This window comes from Homo sapiens, chromosome 3 (genome assembly GCF_000001405.40).
Source record: "Homo sapiens chromosome 3, GRCh38.p14 Primary Assembly".
Lineage (NCBI taxonomy): Eukaryota > Metazoa > Chordata > Mammalia > Primates > Hominidae > Homo > Homo sapiens.
This window is the reverse complement of record NC_000003.12, coordinates 139,209,548-139,231,879: the sequence shown is the minus strand read 5'-3', so window position 1 is coordinate 139,231,879 and position 22,332 is coordinate 139,209,548. Positions and strand designations below refer to the sequence as shown.

The window sequence follows — 22,332 nt, the reverse complement described above, 5'->3', positions numbered from 1 at the left end:
GGATAGATTATTCTGGGAAATCTTCGACATGACTTCAGCCCTGCTGCCTGACAAGGGGATACACATCAAATGTGCCAGCCCCTTCTGAGGGAGCAACAACAGTAGGGGGGACCCACCAGCACACCAACTCACCTCAGACAGCAAGGCCCGACTCGCAGGGAATGCAATATCTGTCCCTTCCTCAACTGGGAAGCTGGATTCTGCCATTTGAAAACATCTTGCTTCTTGTAAGTTCATAATCATGCGAGTGAAATGCATTTTTTTGAGACAGGGTCTTGCTATGTTGCCCAGGCTAGTCTCAAACTTCTGGGCTCAAGTGATCCTCCCACCTCTGCCTGAAATGCATTTTAAAAATACAATATAATACTAAAATTAAAACAGCAACTCTCATTTTTTTTTTGCAGGAAGAGGGAGGACACTATACACATAGGTTAATCTATGTCTAAATGAGCTCAATTTGTTTTCTTGAGGTTTCAATGTTTCCCTTTCCTTTGAAATTTTTTATCTATTACAAAAATAATTCACAGAAGAATAGAAGACAAAAATCTTCCCTAGTCCTACCACCCAGTGAGAGCTACCATTAAGATTAATATTGTATTTTTCCAGATATTTTCAGTCTAATATATAATTACAATCATTGGACATAATCAAAATAGCTATACTAATTTTTGAAAAAGCTTACTTGTGTTTTTTTTTTTTTTTTAATTGTAAAACTAATATAAACTCTTAGAAAAAGTTCCAGGTAAGTGAACAGAATACTATAGGGAAGAAAATGAAAATTCCCTCTAGGCTACCCCTCAGCAAGAAACCCTCTTAATGGGAATCCCCAGGCTCTGAGTGGCTCCCCTCTCCAGCTTGGATCCTCAGCTCCAAAGCCCCACTGTCCTGTCTCTGTGTCCTGGGACAGGGGACAAGGGGCTGTCCTTACATTAATGCTCCACATGCCTCCACCCAAGTCCAGGCAGCCAGCCCTTCAGCCCTGGGGCGGCAAACCCACCCTAGAGTCCTTCATCTTCTTGGCTACTTTATGTCAAAATATTCATATTTGTTTTTTACTTAATAGCTAATGTCCTTTGCCGGCAACCCCCTGCCGCACCCCATTTTAAATATTATGGTCCTAATTACAGAGGATGATTACTGAATGACCAAATGGGGAAGGCAGACCCTGATCACACTCTGGAGGCCCAGCCTCTCTCTTACAAAATGGGACTCTTTTTTTTTTTTTTTTAACACCATCCAATGATGTCACCCGTTTGCGGTTTCTCTGGGACTTTATTAAAATGTTTGTGACGGAGCCAATGTAAACCATCCTAAATCCAACACAGAGCTGAAAGGACTGATTTTAGGGAATGTGAAGATATGGATCATTGGGCCTGTCGAAGCCCCATCTTGAGCCAATTATTGGTGTCATCTTGAGCCAATTTAATCAATCCAAGAGGGATTGGAGGGTGGAAGGGGGCGCAAGCGGGGGTTGTGAGCGTTGGTCAAACATGCTGGCTCAAATGCTTGTGTCATGAAAGCTACACAGCTCTAGCTTTCTGGATTTCAGTTGCTGCTCTAACACGCGCTTTCATCCCAGGGTACCCTATCTTGTGCCAGTTTCAGCCACATTGTTGGGTTTGTTTGAAATTGCTGAGCAGGGCTGATCTAGGTCTGAAAGATTAAGCCCCCGGAAGTCTTAATGGTCACTTCTCATTTGGGAGACAATGTCAAGGAAGCAGACCCCACAGACACCACTGACATCCGACCCATTTAGGGACCCAGGGAAACCAGCCCTTCCGCCTCTCACCCCAGACGGACTGTTCACCACTGACATCCGACCCATTTAGGGACCCAGGGAAACCAGCCCTTCCAGACGGACTGTACCAAGAAAGGGTCAGGAGCAGTCTAAGTGGGATGCTTAGAAACAAAATCCAGTGACAAACAACAGCCTTGAGTATTTATTTTTTGTTGAGTTTTTCTTTCTTTTTTAAAATTGGTTATCCAGCATTATAAATTACAAAGTGGATGTTTTTCTCACTTAAAAAAAAATGACTAGAAAGAAAAGACCCAGAGTCACCATCAATAGAAATATTTGACCATGTCAAGAGCTAAAGTAACATCAGCTTCCATTTTCTATTTTATACTCGGTGCCTCGAATGGATGACACAAATATAGGCAAGGCACAAACAGAATATTAGATATTTTCTTTACAAACCCACAGAAAATGATTGATATATGTGGCACACAATTATTTTATTTATCCACATATTTATGTATATTTGTCTATGCTCCAAAAAGGATGTAAGGGGTGTACCTGGACCTGAAATAGTTGATTAGCTGCCCCATCCTCTCTCCTACATTCTTCTCCCCATCTAAGTTTCAAAGGACTGCTCCTCCTCCCTCCCCTGGGGCAGCGCTTCACATTTTTTATGATACCAAAAGGGTCTAGGCTGCCTAGTATGTGTATGTTGTGTGTTTTGATGAATAACATCCATGAATATTCTCAATCACTTCTCCAGAACCAGCTATTTGTCTTGGATATAGCGCTACGCAAGCCCGGCGTGGTTTGGAATAGCTAACACTGCAGTAAGCCTTGTCACAGTGCATCTCTGCATGAGCTTGAGGCCACAGAGCAGAACGTGGGCCGATAATACAATTGTTTTCAACCCCATAAAATTGAAGAGAAAGGTCCTCTTGAGTTTTGGAATGCATGCTTGCTGTCAGTTCAAAAAGGAGGTATCCAAAATCTTAAGCCAGGAACAAAAGAATACGAGTCTGACAACCGCCTTGATGTTCCCAAATTTAACCACTTTAAAGAACCCTGCCTCCCTCATCATTGAATTATTTTCACAAAACAATGGATGTTGAATTTATCTTTTCCTATAATATGCAATCTGAAAGTTGTTTTGATTGAAACTGACTTTCCTTCTATTATAACTTGTTTCCAAAGACTTTGATTGCTAAACTTGTAATTTCTGCAAACCTGATGGACTTCTGGGACAATACAGGGGCTTCGTTACTCTGAACGTGTTCAAAACAAATCCAGAATGAACTTTTATCACTGCAACCTCCAGAGAAAGAGTAGGAAAGGCAACTCTGGGCTGAGTTGGCTTGGTCCAAGTCAGTATCTCCACTTGAGAATGTGTTAGTCTGTTTAGAAGTCAGGCTAATCCTACCTTTCAATTATAGAAGGAAACAGATTTTAAATTCAAGACTCAAGGTGGGTCCTCTGAGTGTGAGGATCAAACGCTCTGGTGCTTTCAACAGCAAACGCTACTGCCTGTCTCAAGGCGGAGGCCAGCCGGGACTGCAGGGTTTATAAACAATGCTCTGCTATTTATTGGAGTTGCCCACCCGAATCCAAATCTTCCTCTCTTCAATAGCGGCCTATTTACCGCAGTTTAAATCAGGGTTCTGCAGCCCTGCCGGGGTCTGCAATTTATTACTTGCTGCAAGAGCTCAGACCCAGAGTTTAAATGTCCCGAGTTGAAAGTTTATACCAGTCAGGACAGAAAATTATTCTCTCTGCCTAGGTTGAAGCACATTACTTCTTTATTGAATTAATTATGATAAGGATCATAACTTTAAACGAGGGGTGAGGTGCTGGCTTTCCACTGGGATTGCTTGGAGCAATTTTCATCCAAGCATTTTTGTGGAGTTATTGAGTCTGGCAGGTCTGAACTTTAGAGAGGAGTAACTTTCTCCAGAACTTGAAAGGGGTTGGACATTGATCCAGGCAAAGCTTTACCAGATTCCATGTCTCGAGACAGGGAAATTTGCACTGCATGCTGAACAAATAACTGCGGGACCGGATGAAAGACAGCTCAGCAACTCCTCATGTGGCCTCGAGCATGGCCTTTCCCTGGCAGACATGGCCCAGGGAGGGCAAGGGACAAACAGGAACAGAAAGGTCCCCAGCAAGCCCATCCTCCCCTGCCTCTTTATCTTCCAAGCCCAACCTGGGCTGCAGGGCTGTGCAAGTGGCATACTGGATCCTGGGTCCAAATCCTGGTTCTGCCACTTACTAGTGGGGTGATATGAAGAGTGTTCCTTTTCTTCTTTCTGTCTCACCCAACATCTCTGGACTACTTTAAGAAGTGTGTGTATATGTTACATATGTATAAATATGTTATACATACACACTATATCTATAGTGTGTGTATATATGATTATATATAATATATAAGTATTACACACAAATATATATACACATATATATGTGCATAATACACACACACCTGGCACTTAGTTGGGGCTTAATTAAATTATATATACATATATATTTGTGCATAATACACACACACACACACACACACACACAAACACACACACACACACCTGGCACTTAGTTGGGGCTTAATTAAAGGTAGTCATGATTACCATTGTCATTATTATCAGGAAAATGAAAAAGTTAAGCCAGACCAATATCTCATATGTCTTTGAACTAAAATCTCCCCAACTCCTACCCAGGTGACAAAGCAGTGTGGGTCTCTGGCTGTGGGCCCAGGCCTCCATGCTGCCAGCTGGACTGCACTCAAGGCCGTCTTCCTGGCTCCTCCACCCACCCCCACCCCCACTCTGCAGAGTCAGGAGTTTTGCTGCCTGGGTTCCAAGTGCTGTGGCTATTCCTGGATGTCTCCCATACAGGCCCCACCATCTGGATCCTGGTAGCCCTGTAGTGACAGGCTTTACCAGGGAAGAAAGGGGCTTTCCCAGCACACCTTTACACTCAGCGAGGTAGCCAGCTCAGTGGATAAAGCCTTGCTTGCAACTCAAATTAGGGTTGACGTATAATTTATCATCTGAACCAGGGCACGTTTAACAATGAAAAGGGCACTGCTAATAATTACTTTGAGACATCACACATAACCAAGACTGGCCTGGCACCTCGGATGTATGGCCAGCTATTCTCAGACCACTGTAGTCTCAGACCATGCTTCCTCATTACAGAAAACATTCCATTTGCATGAACTTTACTAAGTCCACCTCTTCAAAATAACCTTCCTTAATGATTTGACAGCTCCAGGCCAGCATGGTCTGACAGGGCCCTGAACAGCCACAGCCAGCTCCCAGCCATGAATGGATTATGCAGTGTTTTTCCTTCATTGTTCCCCTGTTCCCCATGGGAGAGTGACTGTGTGAAAGTGGCTATGGAGCCCAGTGTCTAAGTCATCTTTTGGGACTTGAAGAGAAGGGGACCCTCAGGAGGCCAAAGAGCCAAAGCTCATCACACCCTTTAGTCCAGGTGATGGGGTACTGAGATCACATCCACACCAACATGCTCATCTACAATCCAGCACAACCCCAGCAATTCTACTGACGGCCTTGGCAGCTATTACTTGGTGAGCAATTGCAATGCGCCTGGTCCTTGCTCAGGGTCTCACATTGAATTACTTCATTAGATCCTCCCTAAAATCCTAACAGGCAGTTCTATCGTTAACAATGATAGATGAGAAAACTGAGACACAGAGAAGTTAAGTAACCTGCCCAAGTTCACCATACATAAAAGTGGCCCAGCTGGGCTTTGAACTCCAGCAACCTGGAGCTGACCCTTAGAAGCAAAGATGTACTGTAAAGAGTGAAAATGGGCTTAGGCCTTGATTCAAAACCTGCCTTTACCCGTTCCTCATTGTGACCCTGGGCAAGTTCCCTTTTTAAATAACTTAATCCTCAATATAGGACCTAGGCTTGTTGTAAGGTCAAAAGAGACAACGTATGTGCAGCTATCTCATAAGGTATAGGAACCCAAGTACAGTTTCTTAACATAATCTGTTGCAACAGTCCTACCTGACAGTGAATCCTCCACTGTGTCCCAGCAAGTGGCCACCCAGCCTGGCTTAGAACATGCTGTCTGTCCCCAGTTCTTATCCTCAGGGCCTTGCCCTCAGCAGCTCAGGACCTGGCCTCAGCCCCAGATCCCTCGGAAGGTCAGCTCAGCTCTGAAAGAGAAGCCCACCATCCCAGGAGTTCAAACCATCAGGTCCTGACAGAGATGGCACCACTTTGGAGAGGTTTTATTTCAGCTACTTCCAAGGGACTGTATACCCCAAAGTTCCCATTCTGGAGATGTGCCTGCAGCCCATGCACCACGATTGTCCAGAAGCTAGGTCTACCAGGCACTCAGCCAATCAAGTGGCCAGTGAGTCAGGAGGCCTGGGGCTCCATCGCCCAGCTGGCAAGCCCATTAAACATCCACCCTGAGGCCCTCTCCAGGCAGGACACACAAAACTGAGACAATGGCTCTTCCTCACGCCTTCCCTTCTCCCTGCAAAAGTGTGTTTTGCATCCCACCCTACCCCGTGGAGCCCACATGGTTTAAGTTACTGGAGCCCCCTCTGAAGGGGGTGGTCTATTACTTTCATCTGTCAAAGAGAAGATACCACAGCTGGGAGCAAGGCAAGGTCTGGGCACAGGGACAGTAAGCAGGGACTGGGCCAGGTGGTCTGGCCGGCAGCCTGCCCAGGCCTCCCTTCACTCTCTCAGACCTGTGGCGCCTGCCCAAGCCATGCCTCTGTATCAGGAGGGTCCCTTCCTCCCAACAGGGTTAACCAGAGGTGAGTGTGGGACAAATGTTAGGTTCCTCAGCTTTCTACAATGCAGGGCAGACAACAAGACTGCCATGCTTCAGAGGGGATACAGGCTGAAAACAGCAACAGGTTCCAGGAGGGTTTTGAGAGTTGCAGAGAATGTGACAGAGTAGGGAATATGACTAATTTTGAACAGGGTAGCCTGTATCATCATTCAGCATCTATTCTCATTCAAGGGTTCGATGTTCTTCAAGAAAAAAAAAGGTCAATTTATTCACACTAAAATGTGAATGACTAAATGTTCCTTATGCATTGTACTTCATAGAAGTGTTTCACAGAAAACATGTAAATAGAAATTGCCAATGCAACTCTTCAGTTACTACCTCCCCTGATAAACAAATGCACACACACACACTGACACCAACAAGCACAAACACATGCCTCCCCATCCAAACCAAACTACTTAGTATTTTCTGAGCACCCTGGACCCTCTCTTCAGGCCAGGCTTTTATACTACCTACAACTCATGAAAGCATCCCTTCACTTTGTTTCCCTGGTTATCTTAAGTTCACCCTTCAAAACTCATCCCACTTAGCACCTCCAAGAAGCTTTCCCTGCTTGCACCTGCCCCAGGCTGCATTAGGAATTGCTCCATGAGGTGCTCTCTGCATGCTCCGCAGGTAGGGCCCTCTCCATCCTGGGCTGTCATGGTTTCCTGATCTGACTCTCCCACTAGACTGTCAGCTCCTCCAGGCCTGGGTCTCGTGCTCCATTTTATTCCTAAGGCCTATACAAGGCTTGGCACAGAGTAGCATCTTGAGGAGTGTTGGTTGAATGAAAAAATGACAATCTGCATCAAGGAAGCTTCTTTCTTTCTGAGTAAGGAGTATGTAGAGCCAGGCACACATGGAAGAGTGCCTGAGTGTAACACAGTTCTGCACCTAACAGATGCACCCACAAAAACACATGGGCTCTTTTCCCCTGACCAAACACCATTCATCAGTTTCCTAAGAATCATTCTGCCCACAGCTGGGGAAAAAACAAACAGTATCAAGAGCCTGAAGAATGGCAGAAGACCCTGTGCCTCTCAATATGTCATTGGGGTCCCTGGAGATATATGTAATGAAAAATGTTAAAACTAGCCAGTAAATAAATATGCCATGCTGAGTTTGGTGTCCACAACCTCTCAGACCTGCAGTTGTCACCACCCCACCAGCCCACACATCATCAGGTCCACCCAGAGACAAGCAAATGGTTTCTCAAAACACAGTGGTTTTTATTTATGGTTTTTATGACAGCACATCCTTCTAGACTACCTGTTTCTGTCACTTGGACCTAAAGCAATAGCTTGCTTCTTTCTGCCACCCCAAGCTCTAGAGCCTGTCCAGGGCCAGAGACTGCCCATCATAATAGGAGTTTCCCAGGATACATTTGCCACAAGACACGCACGGGCATGCCCATCTGCCCACACATCTATATGCACAAGCACATGTGCGCGCACACACACACAGGCATGGGAAATCACAGGGTGGGGAATTGAGAGCATCGGCTCTAGAGCTGTCCCACTTGGGTTCAAGTCCTGACTCCATCCACATTTACTATCTGGATGGCCTTGAGCAAAATATTTAACCATCCTGGGCCTCCATTTCCTCATCTGCAAAATGGGGAAAATTATCATTCTTACCCCATAGGAGTAGGCTAAGATTAAATCAACCTAAAGTACTCCTAACAATGTTCAGCTATCATACACACTATAAATAAATGTCAGCAATCACGATCATGTACTCACACATACAGAAATTCACACTGCTAACCTGTGGTTTCCCCATAAGTGATTCTCAGTCGTAAGCAAGAAAGTTCCTTTCCTTGACTCTCTTATAACCTAAAGTACCCTGAGAGTAGGGGTTATGGTTAGGACTCACAATCATTCATTCATTCATTCACTCAACAAACATTTTTTTTTCTTTTTGAGACAGAGTTTCGCTCTTGTTGCCCAGGCTGGAGTGCAATGGTGTGATCTCAGCTCACTGTAACCTCCGCCTCCCTGGTTCAAGTGATTCTTCTGCCTCAGCCTCCCGAGTAGATGGGATTACAGGTGCCTGCCACCATGCCCAGCTAATTTTGTATTTTTAATAGAGACAGGGTTTCACTATGTTGGTCAGGCTGGTCTCGAACTCCTGACCTCAGGTGATCCACCTATCTCAGCCTCCCAAAGTGCTGGGATTACAGGCGTTAGCCACCATGCCCAGCCTCCAACAAACATTTAATGAACACCTGCAATGTGCCAGGGATGGATCAAGATCTAGCCTGGCCTTGAAGAGTGCACAGGTGACAATGGTCTGTGATAAGTGCCATAATAAAGTGGAGAGAAAGGGAAATAATCCAGCTCAGGAAATCAGGGAAGGCTTCTTGAAGGAAAGAACGTCTACATACTAAAAGCTGAGTACAAGTTAGCCATGTGAAGGGGTGAAGAGGATGGGAGATGGACTCAGGCTGCACTGACTCAATTAATTATAACAATCAGTAACTACCATTTATTGAGCATTTTCTCCGTGCCAGGGCCAGTGTCAAGCATTTTAGCCATAGCATCTCACTGAAGCCTCACTCTCAGCTTTGAGTAGAGGGACAGCCTCTGCTTTGTATTTTGTTCATGCTGTATCCTCAATGCCTAGAATGCTCCCCAGAACTTAAGTAGTACCCAATAAACATTTGTAGAATGAATAAAAATCAAACACTGCCATGAAGGTGGTCCTAAAATGACCCCCATTTTACAGATGAGGAAACTGAGGTGTAGAGAAATCAAGTGACTTGCTGAAGGATGCTCCACAGCGAAGTGTGGAATGGAGCTAGGATCGGATGGAGCTCTGTCTGGTGTTGGGCTGGGACTCTCACCTCCCCGTCTGCTGGTCAGGCCAAGTGCATTATTCAGGTTCACTGAGGATGAGGCTGGCCTGAGGGACCTCAGCAGCCAAAGCAGCCACCCTCTCACATGTGACCTGAGAAAAACCAGGTCACAGACGAAACCCCACTCCCTACACAGCGGGCTCTGTGGAGGGCCAGCCAGTGGGGTGCCCAGCTGGCTCAGCAGCCTGTGTTTACATTTCTCCCTCAATCTGGAGGCTGCAGATTGAAATTATCTCCTCTCTGCCGTGTCAGCCTGTCCTGAGGTTCGCTCCCAGCCCCAGCAACTCCCAGCAAGCTCAAGGCAGTCCCAGCTGGGACATGATAAAGACGGCTCTGTACCATGGGTTTCATTTGGATGGGAGAGGAAGGCCCTCCCCTCAGCTTAGGCTGCAGCAGAGCCTTTTCAGTTAGCAGTCTGCCCTTCCTGGGGACTGAGGGAAAGCAGAGGGGCCCCCACTGTACCCCAGCCCCAACGGCCTCTGAGAGCCATAGGAGTACCACCACAGGACCCTGGGGGAGCAGAGTCTACAGCTGACCCAGGCTTCCATACTGCAGCCCAGATCATCTGCTGGGCAGATGACTTCTAGGGGATGGGGGAGATGTAGGGCACCTCCCCATGGCCAGCCTCACTATCTCTGTGAGGAAAGTACTTGCTGTGCAACCCTGGGCCAGTTCCCTCCCCTATCTGTGCCTCAGTTACTTCATCTGTACAATGAAGGACTAGGATAGATGATCTTGGGTGACATGCTGCAATTTGCCATGCCAGGCTCTTCTAAGCTTCCTGAGGGCAGAGGCCAGACTTTATTCCTATCAGCATCCCCAGCAGCCTGCATAATGCCTGACACTCAGAACACTCAGGGAGTGTTTGTTGACTGAATGAATGACAAAGATCTGCCTGTCCCCCTCCCTTTCCAAGCCCCCCAGGGACCTCATGAACTCCATCACACCTGGAACCCATCTTAGTGATCCCTTGGCCAGCCCCCGACTCCAGGTCATATCTTGATCTACAGATTAATCTTTCCCTATCTGTGCTGTCAGTGTGGGGTCTCAATAAATATCACTTAGTGCACTATAGGAACTTGATAAATACTGGTTATTACCATTATTATTACAGTATCAGACAAATTCATTCACACTAAGATCTTAATAATGAATAAAAAATGAACAGATCTGTATTCTAGATGGGTTCTAAGAAGGGACAATCGCAGGGAACAGATCTCTAACCATGACATCTCAAGTGCTACAGCAGGTGCTAACCTGGGTCCAGGTGAGGGAACAGGGAGGGCAGGCTTTCCAACAGGGAAACAGAGTCTTGAGACCAAGGTCCACATCTCAGAGAGACTGAGGAGGCAGAGACAGGGCAGGAGGTGTACAGACACATCCCTCTGCTGAGAAGTCATATACTTACCCCTTGTGGAAGGGTCTGGGATGCTTCCTATGACTTGTGGGCCAACACTGGACTAGAGGCAGAAGGGGTCATCATGGGGCTGAGCCACACAAATGCTCTGTGGCAGGAAGGCACACTTGGCCTAGAACCACATACCAAGCCTGAGGAATTTGCAAAGAGCTAAAAATTCTGAGTAAAATATCAGCAATACAAAACAATTAAAGACACAAAGGTTTGGGCACTAGACTATGCCACAGAGGTGCCCACCACAGAACCCTGGGGGAGCACTGGAATCCTAGTCATACTTCAAAATCCTCATAAGGATTTCTGCTTCTGGTGGTATTGTGAATTAGATATTCTATTGATGGAGGGGGGATGAGCAGGGGCCATACAAACAAACCTCCTAATACAAAAAGAAAACTAGATGAAATACATCAAACATCTTTTTAAATGCAGAACTGAACTTGTAGTAAAATAAGAACTCTCTAAATGTCAGAAGTGGAGAGGAGACAGGACTCCAGCCTGTGGAGCCAACGCTGCCCCAGCAAAGCTGTCAGGCATTTGCTGAGACAGGGTTTATTGGCAACAGAGGATACAAGGTCTTAGGCTCCCCCACCCTGCCCCACTCCCACAACAGAAGCTGGGCTTCTTGAAGAGCTACATCCTAAGTACAAGGATAGACTAGAAAAGGAATCTGCACACAGCAAAGGGAAACAACTAGGCTATCTTAGGCTCAGATCCAAGTAGGGAAAGGAAAATAAAAGAATAAAGCCTCCACTGACAATTCATAACCATAGCCTCACCCTGCAGGTCGAGGATTCAAATTTACACTACCTGCCCAGTTCAAGAAACCCCAAGTCAAGGAATTAAAGCATCCCCAGGCTGGTGGTTCTCTGGGACAACAGGAAGAGGCAAAAGCAACTTCTTTCTGGAAGAGCACGTCATCAACCCAGGTCCCTTAGGTTCCCTGCAGGAGTAGAGCAGTCAAGTAGAGCTCACAATAAAAAAAAAAAAAAAAGTTATAAGACACATGAGGAACAGTAAGTGAGAATCATCACAAGCAACCAATAGCAGACTTATACCCAGAAAGACCTGAGACATTGGAATGATTAGATATAATACATAAAATAGGTATATTTTTAAAATGTTTAATGAAGTAAAACAGGGAAGAAAAAACTCAGCAAGGAACAGAGATTATTAAAAATGGCCAGGCCTATTTGGAAAGTAAATAAATAAAACCTCTTAAAATAGAAACTCAAATTATTGAAGTTTAAGGCCCAATGAAATTGGTTAAGCAATTGAGAATTTGTGAGTTGGGAGGCAGATCTAAAGATATTACTAATAGTGCAGCACAGAGAGAGAGAGATGAAAAATGTAAGCAGGACTAAGAGGCATGGAGGATAGAATGAGAAGATCTAAACTATGTCTAATTGGAGTTCCTGAAGAAGACATTTAGAATTTCTTCTGAGATAATGAAGAAATAATGGCTAAGAATTTTTGAAAATTGATAAAAGACGTAAATAATGAGATTCAGGAACCACAAGTAACCCAGGCAGGATAAGTAAAAACAAATTCTCAGCCGGGCGCAGTGGCTCACGCCTGTAATCCCAGCACTTTGGGAGGCCAAGGCGGGCAGATCATGGGGTCAGGAGATCAAGACCATCCTGGCTAACATCTACTAAAAATACCAAAAAAATTAGCCAGGCGTGGTGGCGGGTGCCTGTAGTCCCAGCTAGTTGGGAGGCTGAGGCAGGAGAATGGCGTGAACCTGGGAGGCAGAGCTTGCAGTGAGCCGAGATCGCACCACTGCACTTCAGCCTGGGCAACAGAGCGAGACTCCATCAAAAAAAACAAAACAAAAGAATTCACGTGTAGACACATCATAGGGAAACTGTAGAATACAGAATCTTTAAAAATACTACAGGAAAAAGACTACAGATCACTTGTACAAGAACAAGCAGACAAGCAGCAATGTTTTCAACCACAACAATGGGAGCAGGAAGGCAGTGAAATAACATCTTCAATGTGCTAAGGGAAAATAACTATCTACCTAGAATTCTGAACCGAACATAACACTCACTTATGAATAAGAGGACAAGAGCCATTTCAGACCAAGAACTAAGTTGACTACTATATGCCCTCACTAAAGCACCAAAGGAAGAAGGAAAGTGATTCCAGAAAGATCTCATACACACAAGGGACTTGAGAACAAAGAAAATAGTATATAGGTGGGCAAAGTTCAACAAGTATCAGTTCTATTGAACAGTAACAATAAAGGTTCATGTTGGGATAAAAAATGACTTGAAACTAAATTAGTGGACATTGATAACAAGCAAGGTATGGAAGATGGCAAGAGGATAATTGCCTTTCAGTGTGAAAGGCACATGTTAAAACTTTTATTTTTTGCTACCTTGTCAAAGACACATGTTAAAACTTTAAGAGTAACCACTAAAATGAGAGTATAAACTTTCTAAATCAATAGAGGAGGAAAATGGAATTTTTAAAATATCTTCAAGTTGAGCAAGGCATGAATAGTCCCCGACCTTGAGAATCTCAGAGTCTGGTGCAGAAGGCAAGCAAATAAAAACATAATTCTATTGACAACATTTTAAATATATATGGTAAAATATATTAAAGAATGTGGGGAGGTGGGTTGATAGTCATGACACACATGAATGTGAATTGGTACAGTTGCTCCAGAGGACAGCTTGCCATTAGATTCCCCGCCATTCCCCTCTCACTGCCAGGCCTCGCTGAGCCATTCACCCCTGTGCAGGCCTGTGCAAAGGAGGTACACACAGGCATGCTACTGCAGCATTATGGGAATACCAGAGACCCAGAAACAGCCTACACACCCACTAATGAAGGAATGGCCAAAACCACAAATATTTCTCCACAGCATAAAGAAGGACAAGGTAGATCTACTATGTTCTAATATCTAATAACTAATCCTACACACAAACACACACACATCACAGAAAGATATCTTCCAGGCCCAGGATAGGGCCCTGGAACCTCATAAGTGTGCAATGAATGTGAACTAAACTGAATGGTACACAATACTGCAGAGAGGGGTCAGGAGAGACACAGAGATCTAGAACTTGTGAGCCAGGAGGAGCTTTCAGCAGAAACAGAATAAGCTAAAAGAAGAGAGTTCCTGGCTGACACTGTGAGGATGCTGGGGCAAAGGCAGAGGCGGAGCCCGCAGACTCCTCCCAGGCACTTCTGGTGCATAGGTGCATGCTCCCCTCCCAAGCCCACACTTGAGGGATTCTGGGAGTTCAGGACCAAATCTGGTCTAGGGTGAGGGTGGGAAGAGGAGGTTGGAAAAGGCCCAGGCAGCGAGCCACCACCCTTGCCTCCTTCCCACACTATCAGCTCTTGTCTTCCTGTTTGACCAAACTTGTCAAGCATGTTTTTGAAAGTTCCTATCCTTGAGAAGAGTTATGGGGCATGTGAGGTCTGGATCTCTCAGGAGGCCACAGTGACCACCCAGGCCACAGCTTCACCTCTGTCCTGAACTCCCAGGGAGGAAAATGTCTACAGTATTTGGGCCACAGGGCTCGCTTCCTACCAGGCATCTCTCTTACGGGAGTCCTGTGGGGTTAGGTGAACTCAGCTGTGTGTGTGCATGTACTTCTCCAACTCAACTGCTACCTGACCACACATAAGACTCGCCCCCTATATTCTGAGCACATTCTTAGACACTGGAGATGAATCAGCCCCTTTCTGTGCCTTAGTCCTTGACTACCTCTGCCACCTCTTCTTTCACCATTCCATACTTTATGCAGAATATTAGTATATCCCTACACACAATAGGTTGTTTCTTACTTCTGAGCCTTTACTCAATGCTGTTCCTCCTGCCTGGGACTCATTTCCTCTCTTATCTGATTAATGGTTATTTGTCTTTTAGATTCAGTAGTCACTGCCTCCAGGAAGTCTTCCCTGACACCCCTCTACTCCAAATTGGGCTCTATCTCTCTTTGGGATTTTCATCATGGCCTAGGCTTATTATGTCTATTATGAAATTCCTATCAATACTAAAAGCAAGATTTATGAAGTTCCATGAATGACACTAAGCATTTAATAGGTATTAACATTTTTAAACTTCATATTATGTCTATGAAATGAGAGATCTTCTAATTGCCTTTCTGAGAGTAATCCTCCCTTATTTCTTACCATAATAACTTAACTCTGATCCTATTGGGAATAGGAATGTGCCCAGGTTAATAATTACATTTTATTTATAACCTTGCAATTAAATTCTGATCAATGGGATATAGATAAAAGTTGTTAGGTGAGAATAATGAAAAAACCTTCTAAAGGATGGCTGCTGTAGCTGAAAAACACATCTTACTCTTCCTCCTTCATTCTTCTTCCAGCCTGGAATGTTGGCATAATGGCTGAAGCTGCAGTAGCCATCTTGCGACCATGAGACTGTCTTGAAAAATGAAGCCACCTTCTAAAAATGGTAAAATAGAAAAATAGTAGGAGGAGTTCTGCTTATGATATGGTCAACAGACCCACTGGACCAAACTTCCCAGCAATTGTAACTATTAACTCTAGACAAAATAAAAAATGCAACTATCCAAAGGAACTAGAAAGCAGGCAGATGTTGGAGGGAAGCTGACATCTGGAAGAAGGAATGGGGCCCAGGATATTTCCCATTTTTACGGCTTTCAGCTTGTAGATAGTTCAAAATCATCTTGAATACACACTGAGTAGTGAGTAGCCTGTAGGGTGACTCACACTCTTATTGAAAACCTATAGTTTTTCTGACTTAGAGAACCAGAGAACAAAGCTCAGAGAAACCTCAGCTGCCAAAAAGTAAAGGAGTAATCCTAGAAAGTAGAGAGCCAAAGACAAAGAGCCATGAATTCTATGTAAAAACTCTGGCTAAACTCTGGCTAATTGCTGAACCTTGCATGCATGGAATAGGCTCAAACCTGCCCAGCTTATAACAAAAGTACTCAGCTGAGATTTGTATTGCTGCCCCAGAGACAGAGTTTGCAGTTTGAATCCAAACAAGCAAATTACCAGCTAAAACAAACCAAAAAAAATCAACACCATCCATAAGAATAGAACAGAGTCCAGGGCATCCAAAATATTACATTCACAATGTCCAGGATATGAAAAAATTACAACATGAAGAACAAGGAAGCTTGACTAATTGCCAAAAGAAAAGACAAGACAATAAAGATCCAGTTGTTGGAGTTAGCAGACTAGAATTTTAAAGCCGTTATTGTAACTATAATCAAAGAGGTAACAAAAATATACTTGTAATGAATAAATATGGGAAGAGATGCTTGTGCTGCTGTTTCTAGACAGAGCATACCTGGAGAAGTTGGGGTATTTGTGCAGAGCTGGTTTTGAGGAGAGAGGGAAAGAAAAGGAGAGGGGAAGAGACAGGAAAAGGAAGGGAAAGGAAAGAGGAAGGGCAAGGAGAAGAGAAAGAAAGTGGAGAAGGAGACAGATGAGTAAGTATAAGGGTTCCAATGGATGGAGAACAGCATCTTGGGAAGGCAGTTTTCCTCTAAACTGGTCCCTGCCTCCTGACCCTCTGACCTGAGAGTCACCCCTCCTCAGGGTGCATCAGTCCTCCTCCTGTCACCCTGAACTGCCCTCAGAAGCACTGCTCATCCTGTGACCCTCTAACTCCAGCTTCCTCTGATACTGCTTCATCCAGGCAGAAACACTGTAATACTCATCAAAGGCCCAGGGTGAGGAACAGGGAAACAAACCCAGACTCTACTATAAATTAGGGCAGTTGTAGGATAGGACTTACTCTGTATAACTGCAAGCCCCTTCCCATCCTAGCTCCCAGCTTCCTTCCATCAAGTCTGAATCTATGGACAGTTGTACCCCATGGTTCTCTGGAGGATTCTGTCTGGACAGCTGGCCCAACCTCACCTTCATCTTGAAGTGCATCTTGAACAGCAGCCTGAGACTGCTCTTGGGAGCTCTAAGAGGGCTCTGGGTATACCCAGAGAACAAAAAATTCAAGATATGATTTCTGTATTGCAACACCAAAGTAATAGCACTTTGTTCACTGACAGCAGCAAACAGGGCATTGATAAACACTGGAACCCAAATTACTTTTGTACCCTCCCCAGGCACCTTCACAGCTCTTTTCTGCCCCACATAATGGTTCTGTGTGAATGCTAAAATAGATAGTCCTCTCTCCCACTTTATACAAGTCAAAACTGAGGCCTTGGAGATTAAGGGATGGGTTTCCATTTGCACAGTGATGTACAATAAGTAGCAGATGTAGGTCTACAATCCAGGAGTCCTGTTTGCCAGCCAAAGTCCTATCCCACTAATCAGGGAGTCAGGTACCTTCCCCCAAGCCCATTCTATTATCCTACACGCTAACTATCACTTGTGATATAGGCATGCTCATCTTCATCAACTGTGAGTTCTTAAGAGGATAGGGACTGTATGCTTTTCCTTCTCTGCCTCCAGAAGCTAACATGGAGCAGACAGAGACTTGGAAAGCATGATGTAAAAACTTAAATCAGCCTGGGAAAGGGAAGACTTAACCATAGTGCAAGGCAGAAATTCTCTGACAGTTACCCTTTTCCTCCCAACAAGCATGTGACTGCAGCAGCTGCTTGGGGAAGCAGCCACTCCAGCATTAGAGACCACCAGCATAAACACAATCCATGACATCTTTAGGCAAAGGAAATTGAAACCAACTAGTTTGGTTGGCAATCTTTTTTTATTTAGCATCCCTCTAAAACCAGGCAAGCAAAGCAGTCAGCTCAGAAGCCACAGAACTGGAATGCATTTAAGGGCTCTGAGGTTGTCCAACCGGAACCTGCACATTCAGAGACCCCACCTCATTCCCGATTCCTGAAAAACTGATTGAGTTGAGACAGGAAGAGTAACTGGCGGGTGATTGCAGACTATCCAGTGTCAGCTCATTGTTCCAGGAGGAAGCTGTCAGGACAAGACCTCCCGGCCGTGCCTAGGGCCTCTGGTTCTTATTTTTCTCTTTGTAGGTGGGAGGATTGGGGGGGTGGTGGCAGGGAGCCATCACCCTTTCTCCCACCCAACTGGACACTCCCAATTAGATGTCATCAACCCAGGGTCTCCACATTCCCAACTCCTGGAGGCCTCAGACAAGGGGAGTAGGGGATACCTAATGCTATTTTCCCCTGGAGTTCCCTTTAAAACAAACTATTATTTTTTTAAAATTTTATTTTATTGTGGTTTGAAGACTTAACGTGATATCTAACCTCTTACTAAAATTTTAAGTATACAATACGGCATAATTAACTATATGCACTATGTTGCACAACAGATCTCTAGAACTTCTTCATCTTACTTAGCAGAAACTTCTTGCCCATTGATTAACTAATTAGTTAATTAACTCTCCATTCTCCTTACCTACCATCCCCTGGAAACCATGATCCTACTTTCTGTCTCTAAGACTGTGACTAGTCTAAGTAACTCACATAAGTGGAATCATACAATATTTATTTTTTGTGACTAGCTTATTTCACTTAGCATAATGTCCTAAAGTTTTATCCGTGTTGTAACACTGTAAGAATTTCCTTCCTTTTTAAGGCTGAATAATATTCCATTGTATACCATATACAATATATACCATATTTTCTTTATCCATTCATCAATCCGCGAACATTTAGCCTATTTCCAAATCTCAGATACTGTGAATAGTGCTGCAATGAACATGGGAGTGTGTTCTGTGCGGGAAATGCTCAAGGGGAAAAGAAAAGGCACACACACAATACCTTTAAGGCTAAACAAGCTTTAACCCCTGTAAATGACAATGCAGACATAATAAGCAAATGATATAATAAGCAAATGATGTAATAAGCAAATGATATAATAAGGAAATTGCAATGGGAAGAGGAGAAGGGAAAAGAGAGATATATATTTACACTCACCAGACTATGGAGGATTCACCAGCAGACTGGGAAGCAACAGCCTGAGCTCCAGAATCGGCCACTCATCCGTGCACAGACGAGAAAAGGTCTCATGAAGTTTCAGTACAATCTGGGACCCTAGCTCTTTTTATAACAAGTTGTTTGGCATGAGGCCCAGTCACAAAGGCCCTTCGCGACTGGGCTCAAGGAACACAAAAAGGTCAGCTTGTTTCTGCGATTGTCTATTGTTTTTCAATAACTAACATATAGGAATAGATTGAAATAGAGATTTCTCCGAAACAGTGCTGGATGAGTGTCTCAAGGGGCTCACACAAACTGTTGTGGGACTTGGTGACCATTGTTTCTGTCTATGTTCAATTGAGTTCAAATTTAATATTTAACTTTCCCTCCACAAGGTGGTAATATCTCTTCAATATCCTGACTTCAAAATATCTAGAAGTGGCATTGCTGGATATGTAGTTCTAGTTTTAAATTTTTGAGAAACCTATATGCTGTTTTCCATAACTGCTGCACCATTTTGCATTCCTACCAACAGCATGCAAAGCTTCCAACTTCTCCATATCCTCACCAACACTTCTTGCCTTTTGTTTTTTTGATAATAACCCTCCTGATAGATGTGAAATGGTATCTCATTGTGGTTTTGATTTGCATTTCCATAATGATTAGTGATGCTGAACATCTTTTTATATACCTATTTGCCATTTGTGTGACTTCTTTGAAGAAATGTCTATTCAAGTCTTTAGCCCATTTTTAAATCAAGTTATTAGGTTTTTTTTTTGTATTGAGTAACAGGTGCTCCTTATATAGTTTGGAAATTAACCCCTTATTATAGATGGTTTGCAAATATTTTCTCCTAGAAAATATTTAACTCTGTTAGTTGTTTCTGTTGCTGTACAGAGATTTTAGTTTAATGTAGTCTTACTTCTCTATTTTTGTTTTTGTTGCCTGTGTTGTTGGTATCATATACATGAAATAATGCTAAGACTCATGTCATGAAATTTTTCATTTTCTTCTACAAGTTTTACAGTTTCACACCTCACATTTTAAGCCTTTAATCTATTTTAGTTGATTTTTGTATATAAGATAAAGGGTCCAATTTCATTCTTTTGCATGTGACTATCCAGTTTTCCCAACACCTCTTGTTGAAGAGATTATCCTTTCCCTATCATGTATTCTTGGTATCCTTGTCAAAGATCAGTTGACTGTATATGCATGGATTTATTTATCCATGGATATATAATGAAACAACTCCATCTGTTCCATTGTCTACAGGTCTGTCTTTATGCCAGTACCATACTGTTTTGATTACTGTATCTTTGTAATATATTTTGAAAATACCTTAACATAATAAAGGCTATCTATGAAAAGGCCGCAGCTAACATCACCTCCATGGTGAAAAACTGAAACCTTTTCCTCTAAGATCAGAGACAAGACAAGGATGCCCACTCCTTGCCATATGTACTGGAAGTCCTAGTCAAAACAATTAGGTAAGAAAAAGAAATAAAAGTCATGTAAATCAGAAAGGAAGAAGTAAAACTATCCTTGTTCACAGATGACATAATCTTACACATAGAAAACCCTAAAGCCTCCATTAAAAAACTGTAGAAATAATAAATGAATTCAGTAAACTTGCAGGATACAAAATCAACATGCAAAACTCAGTTGTGTTTTTATATACTAACAATGAACTATCTGAAAAAGAAAATTAGAAAAACAATTCCATTTATAATAGCACCAAAAAGAATAAACAGGAATAAACTTAACTAAGGAGGTGAAATATTTGTATACCAAAAACTACGAAATATTGATTAAAAAATTAAAGAAGATACAAATAAATGGAACAATATCACATGTTCATGTATTGGAAGAAGTAATATTGTCAAGATATCAATACCACCCAAAGTGATCTATAGATTTAATATAATCCCTATTAAAATCTCAATGATGTTTTTGGTAGAAATAGAAAAATCTATCCTAAAATTCATATAGAATCTCAAAGGACCCCAAATAGCCCAAACAACCTTTAAAAGGAAGAACAAAGCCAGAGAACTCACACTTCTCAATTTCAAAACTTACTACAAAGCTACAGTAATCAGTGTGGTACTGGTATAATGACAGATATAGAGACCAGCGGAATAGAGAATCCAGAAATAAATCCTGAATATAGGGTCAAATAATTTTTGACAAGGGTGCCAGGACCATTTAATGGGGAAAGGACAGTCTTTTCAACAAATGATGTTGAAAGTCGTTTCAACAAATGACTGTCGTTTCAAAAAAAGGACAGTCTTTTCAACAAATGTTTCAGCAAACTGAATATTCACATACAAAAGTGGCAAGCTGGATCTTTACCTAACACCATTCACAAAAAATTAACTCAAAATGGACCAAAGACCTAAATATAACAGCTAAGACTATAAAACTCTTACAAGAAACACAGGGCAAAAACTTCATGACACTGGATTTGGCAGCAATTTCTTGGATATGACAGACAAAGGCAGAGGCAACAAAACAATCATTAAAAATGGACTTCATGAAGTCAGTGTGGCGATTCCTCAGGGATCTAGAACTAGAAATACCATTTGACCCAGCAATCCCATTACTGGGTATATACCCAAAGGATTATAAATCATGCTGCTATAAGGACACATGCACTCCTATGTTTATTGCGGCACTATTCACAATAGCAAAGACTTGGAACCAACCCAAATGTCCAACAATGATAGACTGGATTAAGAAAATGTGGCACATATACACCATGGAATACTATGCAGGCATAAAAAATGATGAGTTCATGTCCTTTATAGAGACATGGATGAAGCTGGAAACCATCATTCTCAGCAAAGTATCGCAAGGACAAAAAACCAAACACTGCATGTTCTCACTCATAGGTGGGAATTGAACAATGAGAACACATGGACACAGGAAGGGGAATATCACACACCGGGGCCTGTTGTGGGGTGGGGAGACGGGGGAGGGATAGCATTAGGAGATATACCTAATGTTAAATGACGAGTTAATGGGTGCAGCACACCAACATGGCACATGTATACATATGTAACTAACCTGCACATTGTGCATATGTACCCTAAAACTTAAAGTATAATTAAAAAAGATATGCATTTCCTTTTCCAACTAATCATGAAGAATAATAAGTAATGTAAGATCAGAATAAACAAAATTCCTGAAGACAAAAAAAATGGACTTCATGAAAATTTTTAAATTTTGTACATAAAAGACAGTATCAATGGAATAAGAAGGCAACCCACAGAATGAGGGGAAATATTGGCAAATCATGTATCTAAGAAGAGATGAATGATGAATATCCAGAGTATATAAAGAACTCCTAAAACTCAACAACAACAAATCAGCCTGATTCAAAATGAAAAAAGAACTTGAATGAACATTCCTCCAAAACAGATATACAGATGGCCAATAAGCACATCCTGCTCATCAACTGGCTTTTTTTCTTTCTTTTTTGTTTAACAACAATGTGACAAACATTGAGCTACGTGCTTATTTAATTTACTCCTCAGAGTAAACCTATTAGGTAGATATTATTATCTCCATATTCGGATGAGAGGAATGAGGCTCAGAGAGGTTGGGTAACTTTCTCAAGTTGATA

At 42.9% G+C, this 22,332-nt stretch overlaps 1 annotated feature.

Annotated features, from left to right (window-relative positions):
* Positions 9,134–9,633: an enhancer, noted in NCBI's record as "H3K4me1 hESC enhancer chr3:138941089-138941588 (GRCh37/hg19 assembly coordinates)". NCBI's record gives its function as "activates a minimal SCP1, AML or CMV promoter by ChIP-STARR-seq in primed H9 embryonic stem cells {active_cell/tissue: H9 hESC(primed)}" and the evidence as "EXISTENCE:reporter gene assay evidence [ECO:0000049][PMID:30033119]".